At 36.5% G+C, this 20,842-nt stretch overlaps 1 protein-coding gene across 2 annotated transcripts in view; it reads left to right on the top strand.

The window, feature by feature from the left end:
* CAAP1 (caspase activity and apoptosis inhibitor 1) overlaps positions 1–19,311 on the top strand; it is a 52,118-nt gene extending 32,807 nt beyond the window's left edge. For both annotated transcript variants that reach the window (NM_024828.4, NM_001167575.2), the window contains exon 6: positions 17,349–19,311. In NM_024828.4, the coding sequence (NP_079104.3) occupies positions 17,349–17,695 (347 nt within the window). In that variant the 3' untranslated portion in view covers positions 17,696–19,311. The remainder of the gene's footprint in view (positions 1–17,348) is intronic.
* Positions 19,312–20,842: the final 1,531 nt, after the last annotated feature.

The following is a 20,842-nucleotide window of genomic DNA, read 5'->3' as shown; positions in this document are numbered from 1 at the left end:
ATTTGTTTAAAAACTGGTCTTTTATTACTGCTTAATTTAAAAAGTGGAAAAAAAGGTTAGACAGCGAATTTAGTGATTTGTTCAATTTATATGTAGAGAGAGCAAAATCTAGATTTTCTGTAATTCTGATTTATTTACTGTAGGATTTATGAATATTTCTGATTGTTTCAAAAATTCCCATTGCTTTTCAAAAGTCCTGTTGTGATAACCTCATATAAAGCCAGACAAAATTACGTCTTTGTACTCTGACTTCTTCTGAGCACCGCCATAAACTCAGATTCATAGTTTAATTGACATTTATTTGTCACATATAAATACATGCTAAACACATATTATTTTTATATAATATAATCATAATCATATTACCTTACACCTCATGTATAATTAGATTACACCTCATGTATAATTAGACTACACTGCTACTGTTTCTTCTTTGTTTCTGCTCTTTGTATCAAATGAACAGGCAGTATGGAGGATATGCTATTACATCATCTGAGGAGAAGAGAATGTTCTATAAAGGATAAGAAAAGCTAGAATGGGCAGGTTGATTTCCAGTTCCTAGGAAAAAGGAATGGAGACCACAAATTAGCCAATGTTACCTTGTAAGAGAAGATGTTTTTCTGTTCCCATGTTCACACACTCAGAATTGTTTAGAACTCCCTTCCTAGTGTCAACAGGCTGTTGTACTGTGATTTCTTTATGAGAACTTCAGTCATGTGAAAAACCAGTCATGAAGGTGCAGAGAGGGAGAGAAGAAGACCTCCAATGAGCCAGATGTCAAAAGTCCAGGCCTTTTATGCTTAGGAGCCTGTAACCACACTCAGGTTCTCAAGGAGGTATGAGACATTAGGAACACACTGATGGCATCAAGCAGAGTTGAGAAGACATAAGATCAAAGTGTAGCAGTACCATTGTACAATACAGTTCATGCTCATGTTGTGACTAAATGATTAGCAAATAGTTAAATTAAGTTTTAACCTTTTTTTTTTTTTTTTTTTTGAGACAGTCTCTCGCTCTATTGCCCAGGCTGGAGTGCATGGCGCAATATCGGCTCACTGCCAGCTCCGCCTCCCAGGTTCACACCATTCTCCTGCCTCAGCCTCCTGAGTAGCTGGGACTACAGGCACCTGCCACCATTCCTAGCTAATTTCTTTTTCTTTTTTTTTTTTTTTTGAGATGGAGCCTCCCTCTGTCGCCCAGGCTGGAGTGCAGTGGTGCAATATCAGCTCACTGCAAGCTCCACCTCCCAGGTTCACACCATTCCCCTGCCTCAGCCTCCCAAGTAGCTGGGACTACAGGCGCTCCCCACCACGCCCGGCTAATTTTTTGTATTTTTTAGTAGAGACGGGGTTTCACCGTGTTAACCAGGATGGTCTTGATCTCCTGACCTCGTGATCTGCCTGCCTTAGCCTCCCAAAGTGCTGGGATTACAGGCGTGAGCCACCGCACCCAGCCAGTTTTAACCTTTTTTTAAAAAGCAGGGAATTAAAGTCTTTTAGAAGAATATCTACTAAATGATTAAAATATAAAATGTTTTATTGCATAATGGATAAGTTACTTAGAATATTTATTTATGGAAAACATCTTCCAGATAAATATTAATATAGCTGAAATCTGACTAGATAGTAACTTGCTTGAAGTTACCAAACAAGCTGAGGTATATCAAGAAATAGAAATCCTGATAGGCTCAATAAAGATTATTCCCTGTTTTCTAAGTGCACTAATATTGTCTATTTGTAATGTGCATAACCTGCAAAATCTAATATCTCTAACTTTTCTTGCATAACTAGCTATTTTTGTTCACAGTGAGCTCAATAAAAGCAGAATATAAGCTCCTTGTGAATGCATTGTCATTTTAATGGCTTGACCAATTGAGACAATTCACTGAAGCTTATTTAGTACGAAAGTAACCTTTTGTTCAGTAGACCAAAATATAAAGCAGCATTGAATTTTCTTTTTGCTCTTTCAGAATAAAATAAATCATATCATGTGACCTATTAATGGTATATAAGTTATTTAAATTACATTATCAGTATTTAGAGCATTTAAAATACTGAAGTATTGCTTGAATAATACACAAGTATTAATTATGAATTAAGTTGAAATTGGCATTTTTTTGTCTAGTACTGGTTTCATTCATCTTTGTTGCTAGAAAATATTTTTGAAACCGGCAGTACTGAAGATGAGTATCAGATTTTACACTAACTTCCACTGCACTTTAATAATGAGCTAATAAAAGGAACTACCTTTACAGTGAAAATGTTATTTAAATGTAAATATAATCTATTGGTTCAATGATTGGTACTGTAGTAAAACAGAAACTCTTCTGTTAGAAATTCTTCCTTTCTTTCTTTTTTGTTTTTGTTTTTGTTTTTTTGCTCTGTCACCTAGGCTGGAGTGCAGTGGTGTGATTTCAGCTCACTGTAACCTCCATCTCTTGGGTTAAAGCAATTCTCCTGCCTCAGCCTGCCGAGTAGCTGGCATTACAGATGCCCACTACCACACCCGGCTAATTTTTGTATTTTTAGTAGAGATGGGGTTTTACCATGTTGGTCAGGCTAGTCCCGAACTCCCTACCTCAGGTGATCCACCCACCTTGGCCTTCCAAAGTGTTGGGATTACAGGCGTGAGCCACCATACCCGGCCAGAAATTATTTCTTAAATCATTCATTTCACTCAGAATGTAGTTGTATAAGAAACATCAGTTATAGTTTTTACTCATTAGCACAGCTGTAGCACATGTGTAGGTGTATGTGTGCATGCGCATACCTGTGCAAGCTCACATGTACAAGTTTCAGATCTTATGTTAATTTCCTTGAGGATTTCAGAGATTGCTGCTTTTCATATAATGGTGGCTTATATAAATTTTCTGAATTGGTCAGTTGTGCTCTAGTTAAAAATAAAAACTGTTGAAGGTATTTCATTTGTAGACAATATTTTTAAAATATCAAGTATCTGCTAATGTTAAGTTTACTCAAGACATTCAGCAATAGTAAAATATTGGTCTGTATTTAAATTGTTGCTTTAAAGTTTACAGTTGGAGAAGTATGTCATTTTGTGAACTATTTTCCTTTGTAAATTCAAAAATTAAGTTCTTATGGTTTTTGTATTTTTTCTTGGAAGTTTTCATGAGAGAAATTTTAAAACTATACATGAGAAATAGCTTTGTTAAGTTAGATTGAGGAGTTGAGGTTTATAGTTGCTGTAAAATATTTGAAGGACTATTAAATGGAAGCGTGATTAGATTTTTTTCTGTATGGCCTTGGAGAAAAAAAATAGAACCAATAGATAGCATTATCATTAGACAAAATTTTTTGGTCTAACACAGTGGACTGCCTTCTAAGACATGTTTCTGATGCTGAAGGTGTTTGGACACAGGCCACATAAATAGCCACTTGGTGGTGCTGTTGTAGAGGATTCAAGCAATGGTTGGCTGTTTGGCCTTGATCTTCTAGTTCCTTTCTAGCTGTCAGGTTTTAAGACCAGTGCCTAGTGCATTGTTTGTACTTAGGAAGAATGGTTAATAACTGTTTTCCTAAATTGTTTAATGGAAGCAATGTGAAATATACACTCTTTTTTGCTATCTCTACATTTTTTATTCTATTGGAAGAAAAGAAAATATGTTTGATTTAGTCTTTGATCTGTTTAATGGTTCCTTAAAATATATTCATTTGAATACAGTCATTAAAATAAATAATATAATTAAATGGTATATAAAATGACCAAAATCAATGAAGATATTTACATCTTATTTTGAATATTTGTACATTAACTGTCGCATGTGAGAATCTTTTCCCTAAAGACATGCAAGCACAAAATATGCACACAGAGTTTTGCTTTAAATAGGCTCAAATTCTACCCCCCCCCTTTTAAAAAAAATTACTGGCCAGGCTCATGCCCACACCCACAATCCCAGAGTTTTAGGAGGCCGAGGAGGGAGGATCGCTTCAACCCAGGAAGGAGGTCGAAGCTGCAGTGAGCCATGATTGCACCACAAAGATTTCAGTATTTTGAGAGAAATGTTTATTTTTATGTGTCCTTAAGTACTCATTTTAAACATTCTATCCTGTGATGTGTATCATAGGATCTTAGACACACTCTTAAGGCATCTACTTTGGAGGTCACATAGTGTAAACCTTCAGTCATTATTGGGACACTGAGTTCTTTTTAGTCATTACGCTCTTACCCAGTTCATTAGGGAAAGCAGCTCTTTACCAAAGTGCTCCTACCAAAGGAAAGACAGTAAATACTAGGCTTGAATCCAGATTTGGTTACCAGTTTCAGAACTCTTTACACACAGCACATCATAGTCTATGATTTAATTTGCAGTTTTGGCTGCTACATCGTATAGTTGATACACGATGAACTTACATTTTATTTTTTATTAAAGGCTTTTTTTTTGGTAGCAGCTTTAGGTTTACAGAAAAAGTGAGCAGGAAGTACAGAGAGTTCCCATATACCTGCTTACCAACTCTTCCCCAAGTGAACCAATTTGTACATTATTATTAACCAAGTCCATAATTTATGATTAGGGCTTAACCTTTGTGTTGTACATTCTGTGGGTTTTGATAATTTTATAATGACATCAATCCACTATTACAATATATAGAATATTTTCACTGCCTTAAAAGTCTTCTGTGTTCTACCTATTTATCCTGCCCACTCTCTCCCCCCCAACTCCTGACAACCACTGATCGTTTTATAGTCCCTATAGTTATGCTTGTCCTGGAATCTCTGTAGTTTTGAATCATACAGTGTGTAGCCTTTTCAGATTGTTTTCTGTCACTCAGTATTTGAAGTTCCTCTATGTCTTTGTGTGGCTTGATAACACATTTTGTTTTATTGCTGAATATTTTCCATTGCATGGATGTACAGCAGTTTGTTCATCCATTCACCCATAACATCTTGGATGCTTCCAAGTTTTGGCAATTATGGATAAAATAGTGTGCAGGTTTTTGTGTGGACATAACTTTGCAACCCATTTGGATAAATACCAAGTTTAGTTTTGTAAGAAATTGCTTAATTGTATTCCAAAGTGTACCATTTTGCATTCCCACTGACAATGAATGAGAGTTCCCATTGCTCCACATTCCTATCAGCATTTGGTAGTGTCAGTGTTTTGGATTTTGGTCATTCTAATAGGCATATAAGTAATCTCTTGTTTCTTATGCAATTCCCTAATGATATGTGATGTTGAACATCTTTCATACACTTATTTGCCATTTCTATATTTTTGGTGAGTTGTCTTCTCAGATCATTTGTGCATTTTAAAAACTGGGTTGTTTTCGTATTGTTGCTTTAAGAGGTCTCTATATATTTTGGATACCAGTGCTTTGTCACATATGTTTTGCAGATGTTTTCTGTGAATCTGTAACTTGTCTTTTTGTTCTCTTACTATTTATTCATATTTAATACACAGACTCTAGGTGTATGTTTGGTACATACTATGTTTATTCAGGTGAGACTTTGTAAATATATCATTTAAGGGACCCACAAGAAGAAGATACATTCAGCTGAACCCAGCATCCTAATTTGTGAAGCTTCTGTGGTTATTTTGAATCTGTTAAGTTCTGGGAAATAGTATAGAATGTTTTAAGTGCATAGGTTTTGGAAACTTACTTGGGTTTGAATTTTGTTTCTGCTACTTTAGCTATGTGAACCTAGGGCAAGTTACTTAAACTCTCTGTTCCTCAGCTTCCTCATTTATAAAATGAGGATAGTAAATATGAATGCCTATTTCATTATGTAGGTGTAAGGATTGAATGAATTAATACATGCAAAATGCTTTAGAGCAGTGCTTAGTAGATATTAAATGCTCAAAAGTATCAGCCCTTGTAATTATTTCTGTTATCATTGTTGTTTTCTGTCTCATCACCTCAGTATCAACCTGGCAGTTTCTAATTGGTAAAAGGGTCTCTATATATTGAATCATAATATGCCTTTACGTAACTTGTACTCATTGGTTTCTCTGTGCCCTTTGGTTTGAAGAAAAAGAGTTTAATACATCTTCTAAATAATAGCTCTTCAAATTTTGAAGTTCACCCCTTCATCCAGCAAACCTACTGTTTTGTTCTAGGCACTAGGGATAGAAAGATAAATATGTCTGGATCTGGAAAGAACTTGTCTAATAAAGGAAAACAGATATGTAAATAAATTTTTTCATATCTATCTGTATCTGAACCTGTATACTCCCCTTATCTCCTGTTAAAATGGATGAACTCTTTGTGCTGCCGAGACCAGACCCTCTGTTTGAGTACTGATCCTGCTACCTTTTGGTACCTGCGAATACTTCATTTCTCCACCTAATTAATGTTCCCCTCTCTAGTGAATTATTGCCAGCAGCCATTTCACTCGTCATTGCTCAGTGCTCATCTTGACCCATCAGCGGCATTTGACAGCATTGGTTATTTTCTCTTTCTTGACACTGGCTTTCCTGGCTTTTTATGACTTCTAAAGGATGAGTGCCCCAGGACTGACTTTTTTCTACACTGTCTAACTGATGATCTTATGTAGTTTTAAGACTGGCAACTACTAACTTATTTCTACAATTCAGACTTCTAACACTTGTGTATCCAGTTTACTTATTAAATGTCCAATAAGCATTTTAAGTTAGCATGTGCCTGAATAAATTCTAGATCCCTCTGTGACTCCCCACCCACCCTAAAAACAAGAAACATAAAAACAGCAATACCTTGCTGCTTCTACCATCCATCTCGTCTTAATAAATAGCAGTTACATTCTTCTCAGTGTCCAGGCCAAGAACCTTGGAATCATTCCTTAGTCCTTTCCTTCATCTCCATCCTGATCCCACTGTTTCTATCCATGCTCCCGGGAGTCTCTTTCACACAGCAGTCTGATTATTTTGTACTGTATGAATGGTCATGTCACTGTTCTTTATCAAAGCCTTCTAATAGCTTCCCATCTCTACACAAAATCCATAGTCCATCTTTCCTTTGGCCAGTATACAGCCTTAACATGATGTGACTTGTTACTCTCCACCTTGCTCTCTCTGCTCCTGCCTCCTTGCTTTCTTCTAGCACTCCAAACACTCCTGTGTCAGAGGCTTTGCTTTTGCTGTTCCTTCTGCCTGCCCGCTTCCTCCTCAGATAACCATATGGGTCTTCCATGCATCATTTAGATTCCTGATCAAATGTTACCTGATCTGTCTAAACTAGTTGATACTAATTTTTTTTTTTCCAGAGCTCGTAAACCTTCTAATAAACCTAGAATTTCACTGGGAATTGATGTCAGATTTACTGTACTGTAGTCTTATAGAAGTCACCTTTTGAAAAGCAGGACTGTGTTGATCTATCACATGTCTACTTCACAGCCTATCAGTTGTGACTGCAGGTTTTAATACATGTGTTCCAATATGTCAAATCTGAAATCTAAACTTATTTACACCAGTAGTGTACTCTTATTTACATCAAACTACTGTTTTTAAGATTATCTCCATTATCTATGAAGCCTTCCCTTCCCTAACCTACTTCTGTTCACCTCCCCTCTTCTCTCAATACCCTTTTTTTTTGTTGTTGGTTTTTGAGACAGAGCCTCTCTCTGTCACCCAGGCTGGAGTGCAGTGGCGTGATCTCAGCTCACTGCAGCCTCCGCCTCCCGGGTTCAAGCAATTCTCCTGCCTCAGCCTCCTGAGTAGTTGGGATTATAGGTGCACACCACCACGCCCAGCTAATTTTTTGTATTTTTAATAGAGACGGCGTTTCACCACGTTGGTCAGGCTGGTCTTGAACTCCTGACCTCAAGTGATCCACCTCCCTTGGCCTCCCAAAGTGCTGGATTACAGGCATGAGCCCTGGGAGACTGAGGTGGGAGGATTGCTTCAGCCAGGAGGCAGAGGTTGCAGTGAGCCATGATTGGGCCACTGCACTCCAGCCTGGGTGACAAAGTGAGACCCTGTCTCCAGAAAAATTAAATTTAATTTAAAAATAAATAAATAATTTTACATTATCTAAAATTAGAATCAAGTCTCTAGTATCTCTTTCTGAGCTTATATTTATATTTAAACAAGCAAAAGCAGTGCCACAGGAAACATGGTAGTTTATGAAGTAGATAATGAGTTTGAGCACACTTTCCTAGGATGGGTAGATTATGGAGCACTGAGATGTTACTAACAGAAAGTATTTGAGTGTGATGCCCTTTTGAATGAGTGTAAGTTCCAAGAAATCTTGAGGGGGAAAAGTTGCTTGCTTCCAAACTCCGATGCTTGGAAATTGAGACAGCTGTTCTGCCTTCATTTTTCCCTTTTGGGTATTTTCATTTTTGATATCAAACTTTTATTCTACCAGAACCCTGTTTAATCAGTGGTAGGAGAAATGATAAATGCTATTTTAAACAGTTTTTTATTTACTTTCAGATTACTCAACAAAAGATTATAGTCAGGAATTGCTTATGTCAGCCTGTTATTGTGCCCCAATGCAAGACCAAAAATATCCACTTATCTGATCCATTGTAAAAGACTAGCAGGGAGTCCCTATTGTGCTTTTTATCCTAGAATGGTGATGTCTTCAGAGACAATAATTTTGGATACTGCCTTTTTTTATATATTCTCACCTGTGCATTTTATTCTGTCAGGCTCACATACCTCTGTACTGAGCTTTACATGTAGCATTTTGCTTGTGCCCATTCTGTCCCTCACACTTGCAGTTTCCTCTTCTGTTAATATCACCTATTAGATTGTACCCATTCTTAAAGGCCCGTCTCATATCATATATCTATGAATATCTCCCTGATTTTTGCCTGTTGCCTTGTATATTCTGAAATTCTGTTATATTTTGTATTGCGTAATTTGGTATGTTAAAGTATAATGCCATACATTAAGCATACTGTGAAGGCAAAACCTGTGTCTTAATCATGTCACAAATATTTTGTCACCTACTTCTAAGGCCTTTGCAGCACCATCATGACATGTGTAAAAGATACTTAGTGAATATTTATTTGATTCTTGGAATAATCTCTGAAGGGGATAGTTAATGGATTTGTGAGTCTTAAAAGTCAAGTTTACAGGCTGGTGGATATTCATGTTATTTGGAAGTTCAATAATGGTTCAGTAGAATACTAGACAGGTTTTCTTTACTGAATCATTTGCATTTTTTCTTTATCTTTAGAAATCAGTCATGCCACAATTAAATTTTATAAATGATGGTCAACCTAATGCACTTAAATCTAAATTAGTAGCTTAATACACTACACATAAGAAAAAAAAAGCCAAGTTCTCTATAACACAGTATTGCTGAATGCCTTCATAGGTTTCACCTGTCCATTATAACTGCATCATAGATGCCAAAGCTTTTTATACATCTGAAATAATTTAGTATACGTTAAGTGACTTGTACAATAGAACATGGCAAATTATTGGAAGAGCTTCATGCTTCAAGTCTTTTCAGTATTTCTTAATTTTCATCATTCCAGTAGAATCAGTCAGTAACTCATTTTTAAAAGCATCATCTGCAAACTTATTAATGTATTTCCAAAGATAATTTACTCTTGTTTTTGGTATTGGGGAATTATGGGGTTTTCCCTATCAATCATGATCCTCAAACAGAAGAGGTAAAACTTGTACATTCTTTCTAAAGAAGTAACTTCATCCTCAAATAACTCATTCAAAGATCTCGACATTTTTGGGGTAGTCATGTTCTGTCTCTCCAACCCCCACTCTGCCCACGTACTTGTGTGTTTGTGTGTGTGTGAGAGAGAGAGTTTTCAGGAAGAAGTGAGGTAAATTATTTCTACTCCTTCAAATAAAGTCTAGTCAGTAGCAAGAAATATAACAGGTAATGTGATACCTATTTTGATAAAGCATTAAAATAAGTCTTCATAAAGTTTTGTTAAAAAATTGTTTTACTAGCCGGGCGTGGTGGCTGACGCCTGTAATCCCAACACTTTGGGAGGCCAAGGGGGCGGATCACGAGGTCACAGATCAAGACCATCCTGGATGACACGGTGAAACCCTGTCTCTACTAAAAATACAAAAAATAAGCTGGGTTTGGTGGCGGGTGTCTGTAGTCCCAGCTACTCGCGAGGCTGAGGCAGGAGAATGGTGTGAACCTGGGAGGCGGAGCTTGCAGTGAGCCGAGATCATGCCACTGCACTCCAGCCTGGGCGACAGAGTGAGACTCCATCTCAAAAAAAAAAAAAAATTGTTTTACTATTAGAAGTAATCATATAACATGGTTTATGGTAAAATGTCAAAAATCTGTTTATGAACTAAAGAGGTGTTTGGGTTCTACAAAGGCACTGCTAGTACTTTAAGCCCACTTAATTTAAGCTTTTTAAAAAATACCTAAAGAAAAAAAGGAAATAAAAACAGTTTTGATGTATGCATGATGTTAAACTAATGTTATTGAAATCCACCAAGAAAAATAAAAGACAGTTGGGCCTGAGGTAAAATATAAAAAATGCAATTAACAATAATAAGAATAAAAATTCAGACTGTTAACTAGAGACATAATAATCAAAGTGGCACAGGAAAGATAGCAAGTAAAAACTTAGATCTAAGTTACTGATGTTACAGAGCAGCGAAAGAACTAAAGTTAACTTTAAACAATACACAAAGAAACAAGAAGATACGATATATTCCTTACATTAACTGTGCTCCTTCACTAAGATGGGGTTTGAAATACTACATACCATTTAGGGCACTTGAGAGAAAAACAATACAAATGAAGAAATGGAGCAAATAGCTTATGAGAAAGGAGTAAAGTAGTTTAAGAGCTTGACTAGGCAATAGTTATAGGAAGACAAAGATGTAAAAGATTTCTCAGGGAAAAAAAGGGCTTTATCATGCATTCATCCCTTATAGTTGATCCTCTGGCTAGCTACTCACCAATGTACCTTTGTTGTATTACACTGTCGTCTAGCCTGTATACTTTCACTATTTCTCTTGTTTTCCTGCTATCTTCAGTCCTACCGACTTGATTCATATCTCAAACTCCGCACCCAAGTACTGAAGATTTTTTAAATAAACGAATCCATCTAGGCTTAGTGTCTAGACAGCAGAATGAACCAGTCACTGCTCAGATTCATCACTGACATATAAATAAATGGAATAATTTTTCAGAACAAAACAAAAAAAATTTATATGTTTATGTTATTCAGTGAGCCATAGTTGTGAATATGGGATAAAACCATAAAGGCAAAATATTTGGCAGCTAAATAGAACAGCCAACACTCTAAACATTTTATTAGCCAGGAGAAAAAATAAACAACATAAGACCCAATCTCTCTAAAAGTAATATACTCCTAATATAAATAAAAAGGAGTGTGCCACATAATAGAAAAAACTAAAATGTAATACCACTGTTTTTATTATCATCTATAACAAACCTCAGTGCGTGAGAGCTGTGGGATTCTCTAAATTAGATAAAAGTAAACACTTGTGGCATAGGTTTGCTTTCTGTTGAAAGTTTTAAATAGAATATCCAATGAAAGTAAACAAACATATAAGAACTATTTTTTCTTTTTTTGAGATGGAGTCTCGCTCTGTCGCGCAGGCTGGAGTGCAGTGGTGTAATCTTGGCTCACTGCAAGCTCCGCCTCCCGGGTTCACGCCATTCTCCTGCCTCAGCCTCCTGAGTATCTGGGACTACAGGTGCCTGCCACCAGGCCCGGCTAATTTTTTTTGTATTTTTTGGTAGAGACGGGGCTTCACTGTGTTAGCCAGAATGGTCTCCATCTCTTGACCTCATGATCCGCCCATCTTGGCCTCCCAAAGTGCTGGGTTACAGGCATGAACCACCACGCCTGGCCACATATAAGAACTGTTAATCACATCACAAACATTCTGAGTTATAAAAATAAAAGGAACTTTTAAGTTATGCTAAAGTATTTAAACCTTGATAGGACTTATAAATATTCGAGTTGATAATAATTCAGCTTATCAGAAACAGTTCTTATGCATAAGATTAAAGTATATCTAGTGTTTTCAGTGATATGCTTGTGAAACCTCTTGATAGTGAATTATTAAATTAAGCCAAGACAAACTCTAGAACATGGATTATTTAGATACTGGTGTGAATTTCCTCTAAAGACAGCAAATTGAACATACGTATCTACTTCCCCTCCCTACCAAGAACCCACTGAAGTGACAGAAGAGGGATACTTAAAATAATAACATAAGTTGTAAATTAACTGATGACAAAACTAATAAACAGCAGTCCTTCCAAAGTAAACCACAAAATAGGGAATAAACAAAGGGAAAAAAAATCAACAGATTTAGCTAAATGTTAATATTTCTGAGAAAAAAAAACACCATAAATAAAATTATAAGACAGGAAAACTACAAAAAAAGGACAAATATAAGAATATATAGAATGTAGGTATTATTAAGAAACAAAAACATGGGCAAAGGGTAGAAACAAGTCAGATATTTCACAAAACTGGAAATACAGAAGGCAATACACACGTGGAAAAGAATGCTCAACCTAATTTCTAATCAGATAAATGTAAATTAAAAAAATAGTGCTTTTGGCCGGGCACGGTGGCTCACTCCTGTAATCCCAGCACTTTGGGAGGCCGAGACGGGCGGATCACGAGGTCAGGAGATCGAGACCATCCTGGCTAACACGGTGAAACCCCGTCTCTACCAAAAGTACAAAAAATTAGCTGGGCGTGGTGGCGGGCGCCTGTAGTCCCAGCTACTTGGGAGGCTGAGGCGGGAGAATGGCGTGAACCCGGGAGGTGGAGCTTGCAGTGAGCCGAGATCGCGCCACTGCACTCCAGCCTGGGTGACAGAGCAAGACTCCGTGTCAAAAAAAAAAAAAAAAAAAAAAAAAAAAAAAAAATATTGCTTTTTACTTACTAGTAAAAACGAGGATTTTTATCTGTCTATAAAAGAAGCTAGTACATTGCTAAGATGAAAAAAAATGACCAAGATATATTTTTAAGTCAAAAAAGTAAGCCAAAGAGTGATAATTATGTTTTTGTTAAAAATAAAATAAATAAGTTATTAACAGTGATTACTTCTGGGAAGGGGAGTAAAAGAAGAAGAAAAATTGGCCGGGCGCAGTGGCTCATGTCTGTAATCCCAGCACTTTGGGAGGCTGAGGCAGGCAGATCACCTGAGGTTGGGAGTTCGAGGCCAGCCTGACCAACATGGAGAAACCCCGTCTCTACTAAAAATACGAAATTAGCCAGGCATGGTGGCGCATGCCTGTAATCCCAGCTACTTGGGAGGCTGAGGCAGGAGAATTGCTTGAACCTGGGAGGTGGAGGTTGTGGTGAGCTGAAATCGCATCATTGCACTCCAGCCTGGGCAGCAAGAGTGCAACTCTGTCTCAAAAAAAAAAGAAGAAAAATTAATTTTCCCATTTTGCTCTGTGAACATGTATTTCTTCAACCTTTTACAAGAATGAACTGTAAAAAGCGTTAAAAGAAAAAATGAATTTACAGTATAACAAAAAAGATATAATGTAAAGATTAGAAATTTTATGGTTTTCACAAAATATAAGTAGACAGGATCAAATTGACAAAAGAAAGGAAAATCATAGCCAAAGACACCATAGATAAGTGTAAGTCTTTCTTTTTTCTTTTTTTTCTTCTTCTTTTTTTTTTTTTTTTTTTTTTTTGAGACAGAGTCTCGCTCTGTCACCCAGGCTGCAGTGCAGTGGCGCAATCTCGGCTCACTGCACCCTCTGCCTCCTGGGTTCAAGCAGTTCTCTGCCTCAGCCTCCATAGTAGCTGGGATTACAGGCACCCGCCACCACGCTCGGCTAATTTTTGTATTTTTAGTAGAGGTGGGGTTTCACCATCTTGGCCAGGCTAGTCTTGAACTCCTGACCTTGTGATCCACCTGCCTTGGCCTCTCAAAGTGCTGGGATTCCAGGCGTGAGCCACCGTGCCCAGCTGGTAAGTGTAACTCTTTCTTGAGTCTTGGAAAGAAGGAAGAATTGGCTGTGGAACAAACAACATGGCAATTAAAATTAAATTCATTTTGAATAATTAAGCCAACTGAACTCCTCCTCCTTTCCCTCCTTTTCACGGCCATATATCCAAGCACTCTACTCTGAGAGGCCTACCCCTCATCCATTTTATATCAAAGAAAAAGATCTGTTAGAGAAATAAACAACTGCTCAAAAAAACCAAACCAGCTACCAGAAAAACATAGCTAAAACAAATGAAGGACCAAGATAAACAAAAGAAGAAATAAAATTCAGGGATCAGAAGATAATCTTTTGGAGAAAAGGGAAGAAGAGAGTCCATTTAATATCCTTATGAGAGAGACTAATGTGGACACTGCAGCCATAAAACAGGGTGCAATGATAAAAAGCCAGAGACCAAGAATTGTTAGAATTTAAAATTACAGATATCGGCCAGGCGTGGTGGCTCATACCTGTAATCCTAGCACTTTGGGAGGCTGAGGTGGGTGGATCACGAGGTCAGGAGTTCCAGACCAGCCTGACCAACATGGTGAAACCCCGTCTCCATTAAAAATACAAAAATTAGCCGGGTGTGGTGGCACGTGCTTGTAATCCCAGCTACTCAGAAGGCTGACGCAGGAGAATCGCTTGAACCCTGGAGGTGGAGGTTGCAGTGAGCAGAGATTGTGCCACTGCATTCCAGCCTGGGTGACAGAAAAAGCAAATATTCAGCAGTGCTGGGAGATCATGTTAAGGAAATATCTCAAAATCCAGAAAAGAAAAATATTTTTAAATGTGCAATAAAAGTTAAGAGATGAAGATGAACAACTCATGAAGTCCAACATGAACTGAGTATAATTCAACAAATATTACTGAGCACCTGCTGTGTACAAGACACTGTTTTAAGCACCAAGGAAACAGCAGGGAACAACAACAAAAATCTCTGCCCTACATTTAAGTAGTAGAGAGAGAGTAAAAATACATAAAAATGTCAGGTGCAATGAAGAAAAATAAAACAGGATAAGAAGACAGTAGCAGGATGACACTTTCACAGAGAGTGATCACTATGATCTGATAAGGTACCATTTGAGCAGGGACTTGATAAAGTGACAGAATAAGTCAGAAAGCAAGAAAGTAGATAGTGAAAAGGGAAAATAAAGAAATAATCTGGATAAAACTGTTAGGAGGTGAAGAAGGCCGTCACCCTGAAAGGGCTTGCCACGTGTAGAACATCAAACCTAAGACACATCCTGTGAAATAGAATTCAAGAATAAAAAAAGTTCCTGAAAGTTGCCACAGAAAAAAACTAGATTACAGACAAAAGCATTACAATGGTTAGGTTCAGGGAATCAAGAGTATTCTCATCAGCCACTGTAGACAATACCCAATCTCAATGGATACTGACATGATCACAAAAAGAAAAGCAATTATATATTATGTGCTGGAAGTACACAACGTCACTTCTAAATATTCTTACCAGAAAATTGAACCTGAGTCTGATCAAGCCTCTGAATCAACTACCGTTTACCTCTTCTCCACCCCCTCATTATATTATTCAGCTCTTCATTCATTATCTCGCAACAACCCCTAGTCTGAAAAACAAGTCACATTTTTCAAAAATTTGTATTTTAAAATATTTTATACAGCCTGTAGTTTCTTATTCAGAATCAGTGACTATACACTTTAAATTTTAGGTAAAGCCTCGGAGACACTAAAGTTAATTTTTTGAGGCTGTGAACAACTTAGCACTTATTTTCTTTTTTTTTTGAGACGGAGTTTCACCCTTATTGCCCAGGCTGGAGTGCAATGGCACGATCTTGGCTCACCACAACCTCCGCCTCCCAGGTTCAAGTGATTCTCTTGCCTCAGCCTCCCGAGTAGCTGGGATTACAGGCATGTGCCCCTACGCCTGGCCAATTTTGTATTTTTAGTAGAGATGGGATTTCTCCATGTTGGTCAGGCTGGTCTCAAACTCCTGACCCCAGGTGATCTGCCCACCTCAGCCTCCCAAAGTGCTGGGATTACAGGCATGAGCCACTGCACCTGGCCTTATTTTCTTAAATCTATTTTAGTCTCAAGTTAGAATACTTGTATAAAATATTGTTTCTTGAAAGGTTTTATTCAATTTTCTGTAGTTTTTTATGCTATTTGGAAATATTTGTTGCTTTGCGGACATATATAAAATGTTCTTTGCCATCAAATAAAATGATAATCTTATTTTTACAAGTTCTATTTATGGACACAAAAATAATTTTTTGTTTTATTTTCCACTTTAATTTTGGAATGGGGGTGGTTTTTCAATTATAAGCATGTAGGAGGATCACTGAAGGTCAGTAAATCATCATTGATTATAAAACCAATGGAGTATAATTGTTTATGTCCTTCCTGTACAGTCTGTTATCAGAATTTACCATCTGTCAATCTATGTTTTGTAAAGAAGCTTTCCCTACTGTAAGGAAAGCGCTATCAAAGCTTTCTTATATTAGGGAAAGCTAACATTTTGGGGATCATGACTTTTTAAAAAAAAAAACATATTCATGGGTGCAGCACACCAGCATGGCACATGTATACATATGTAACTAACCTGCACATTGTGCACATGTACCCTAAAACTTAAAGTATAATAATAAAATAAAAAGAAAAAAAAGAAAATGCAAGAAAAACACACAAAAAACATATTCAATATTTAAAAGATAAATTAATTAGGAATATAAGTGAGTATTCAAAGTTGCAAATGATGCCTGGAATTGAGTAGTATTCAATGCCAAGAACAAGGTGGTCGAGAACCATAATCTGTGTTTATTTATGTTGTTAGCATCAGTTATAGAAGTTTTATAACAAATGCATTTTTTAAAATTATGGTGAACTAACTTTGTTAATTAAAATCCTCGTCATTAAAACAAATTTTACCTTAGAAAATGGCCTTAGGCATTCTTCTTTAATTTATTGATTTGGAACAAAGTGTTTGAAAAAGCGTATGAAAAGATTGGGATAATTGCAATGCATATGTTGTCCTGCTTGCTGATGATACTTTTTCTTTTTTGTAGTTTATAAAGCAAAGTATTTAAACACCTTCTAGAATGAAATTTTACTGCTTGAATAGTAAGCCATACTGTATCCAGAGGATTTCCAATGTCAGCTTTCATTTTGTAGTGCAGAAGCTTTACTGTGATAAAAATGTTATGACATTTTAATTAGGAAAATAGATCATGGGTACTGCATATGATGGAAGAAATTTCTTAATGTTCCCATGTTCTACTAAATCAGAATGAAAAATACATTTGAATTTACATTACATTAGATCTGCTTTGAAGGTTGAGGAGTCAGGGGAAAAGAGGGTGGCATGGGGATTATGGAATGTGTTTGGGACTCCATAGTGGGAGGTGGGATCAAAGCAGTTTTTAAATTATAAACAGTAAGGAAATTGTGACCCATGGTATTTAGGTTACATGGATCTTTCTCCTTTTTTGGTTACAGGAAAAGGGGAAGATAGTGATGTACTCAGTATAAATGCAGATGCTTATGACAGCGACATAGAAGGCCCATGCAACGAAGAAGCAGCTGCTCCCGAGGCACCAGAAAATACAGTCCAAAGTGAAGCTGGTCAGATAGATGACCTGGAGAAAGACATTGAGAAAAGTGTGAATGAGATTCTAGGACTGGCAGAGTCTAGCCCAAACGAACCCAAAGCAGCCACCCTGGCTGTTCCTCCACCAGAAGATGTTCAACCTTCTGCACAGCAACTGGAGCTGCTAGAACTTGAGATGAGGGCAAGAGCGATTAAAGCCCTAATGAAAGCTGGTGATATAAAAAAGCCAGCCTAGGTATTTAACTTGATTTTGAATTTTAGGTATGTTTGAACAAAGCCACATCATTTAATTTTGTATCTAAAATTTATTTGGGGTCTTATATGTTATTTCTCATGTAACCCTTATTAGGACTCATTTTAGCCCTAAATTACCTGTGGCTGTTTCTTTTTATTTTTTTGACTACTTTTATATTATAAATGTGTGTTACTGTCTTATGAATTCATGGCAATATAGTTGGATAGCCTGGATACTTTGTTAGATGAGTATTTAGCTGTGTCTGCAAATCTTAAAAGCCATTAGCAAAGAGTCGTGGTATTTTTTTCTTTATTTTTAAATGTTTGGGCACCAAACCTAAAAGCAAAAGATTGACGAAGCATGTTTCTCTTAAGGCTACTTGTATTTTACAATACAATATTAAATTATTTAATTTGAGAAATTTAGTTTTGCTTATATGCACTTTTTAAATATATACTATTTTGAAGATTCCTTATGTAAATGCAAATTTCCTAGTTAAAACCGAATAACAGAGATCTGAAATGACTGAGAAAAACTTTTTTATTAAAGGAAGGAATTAATTTAAGGCAATTTTTAACTATGTAGAACTAATTGCCCATGTTTAATTATAGCAGACACGCCATTCTAACAGGTATTTGATACCATTGGATGCATTATTCTAGGTTTTTTCTTTAATAAAAATGGAACAAGTTTTCATTTACATTCCAAGCTGTCAGGAAATGAAGAATATTTTATTATCTAGGATTTTATCTGATGTAGTTGCTTAAAGATCTGATGTGCTATAATTCCATGAATCAGAAATAATAAAATGCTATCATTCTGGATCTGAAGACTTTTGATACTTTTTCAAAAGCAAAATTAATTTCAGGAACCTTTGATAAGTTGTTGTTATAATTAATCTAATTTTGTATAGTTTTTGTAAATAAATTACCATCCTTCCACAATTAGGGATGCTTTTATCCCCCCATCACTAATTGCAGTTGTTTGATACCAAAATAAATTTACGTAGAGATCCTTAACTTAAAATAAATTAATTTTTTCAAAAAACATAAATCTGGAACTGTTGTTTCTATATTTGATAACAAATACAGTATATTTTATTTATAAGCCATGGTCTACTGATACTGTATGAGGACTTTCCTTATATATAAAAGTTGCAGGGATTGTGTTTTATTAGCTGCTTTAATTATGTTAATTTTAGAGAGTTTTTAAATGGAAATAGAGGACATTTATGAAACGCTGGAATTGCAGTTACAAATTCTTTTTGTTGTTGTTGTTCCTGAACATGCCTTGGAATAATTCTACCATTTTTTCCCCCTCCATAAATCTTTCTAATAAAGCATAGAAAAAGCCTATATGATTTTAAATGCTTCTCTTAAGCTGGTAAACAGATTTGAGTTATGAGTTCATTGTTATTGCTTCAAGATGAAAAGACAGTGATATAATTTTTCTATTTCAACTTAAAAGTAATAGTTAATATGCTAAAGTAGTACAGAATAAACTTTATTGCTGCTTACTAACTACAAAATACTGTAGATGGCATCTGTATGATTAAACATATAAAGTAAAACAGGTCTGAGGGCTTTGTAGATGATTAAAGTCTCCACCTTCATGAAGCATTGTGTGTCTGTTCTACTCTATGCAGAATGGTTTACAGGACATTTGACTGGAGTGTATATGTGTGAGGTAGAATGAACAGAATAAATTAGAGGCTACTTAATTCCCTACCTTGGAAAATCAAATTTTTATCTTCTTTTAAAATGTTGAAAGACTTGAGAGCTTTTTGAAAATGAATGGCGTTAGAGAATGGGAATATTTGCTTTAGAAATGCCTAAGTAATGGGAAAATACCATGTATCGATCTGATGCTGCCATTTAAATAATCAGCCCAGAGGTATTTATTGAAGGCCTATAAGGTTCTCAGTCTTGTTCAAATCTTAAACCTAGAGGCCAGGTGCGGTGGCTCACGCCTGTAATCCCAGCACTGGAAGGCCGAGGCGGGTGGATCATGAGGTCAGGAGACAGACCATCCTGGCTAACATGGTGAAACCCCGTCTCTACTAAAAATACAAACAACTAATTAGCCAGGTGTGTTGGAGGGCACCTGTAGTCCCACCTACGCGGGAGGCTGAGGCAGGAGAATGGCGCGAACCTGGGAGACGGAGCTTGCAGTGAGCCGAGATCACGCCACTGCTCTCCAGCCTGGGCGACAGAGTGAGACTCCATCTCAAAAAAAAAAAAAGTCTTAAACCTAGAGATCTTACAATATAGATTTTATCATGGAGTAGACTGGTTAATAAAGACATGGGTGGGTGCTGCTGGTTTTTATGCCCGATTCCTTCCTTTTGTTAAGGTGAGCAACATTTCTAGGCAATATTTAATTAGTAATTAAAACAAAAAAAATTGGCGGCTGAATTTTTTATTCAATGTCAAGCAATCCTGATATTTGATGAAGAACTTGACTTAAATCCTTTTTATTTTTATTTTTTTAGAGATGAGGTTTTTGCTATGTTGCCCAGGCTGGTCTCAAGCTCCTGTGCTCAGGCTGTCTCTCCCACCTTAGCCTCCTGAGTAGCTGGGACTACAGGCACACGCCACAGAGTCTGGCCCCTCAAATCTTGAATGCTGGGTGGCAACTGATAATAAGTCTTCTGTGTTAATGAGCAGATACCTCAAACTAAGCCTTGGTTCACATTTAGATGTTCCTACTAATCCACACAGATACATCCTAAAAATCTATCACCAGGGTACCAGTAACATTTCAGTTATGAAAAATCACTCAAAATCCACACATCTTTTTGTTGAACACTATTAATTCCTCAAGTTAATCAGGCAATATATTCTTTCCTTATATCTTTTGGCCAAAACTTACTTTCAGCAAAATGTTAGATCTTAGGATTTGTTATCTGATTAAAGGTATTCTGAACTATTTGGACAGTAATACAAACTGTAATACAATCACCATTTTTCAATGCCATTTTCAAGGTAGATAAAGCAGAGGTGAACCTGTAATTTGGGCCGAATATTTGGGCTTTAAAAATTCTCAGTTCTAGCCCATCATAAAAAGCAAGAAGAGGTCAGTTATGGATACTTTTCTTTGATTGTATCTTCTTAATTCTTTAAAAAGGCCAATATGTTTTAACTTAAA

This window comes from Homo sapiens, chromosome 9 (genome assembly GCF_000001405.40).
Source record: "Homo sapiens chromosome 9, GRCh38.p14 Primary Assembly".
Taxonomy (NCBI): Eukaryota; Metazoa; Chordata; class Mammalia; order Primates; family Hominidae; genus Homo; species Homo sapiens.
This window is presented reverse-complemented; position numbering and strand designations above follow the sequence as displayed.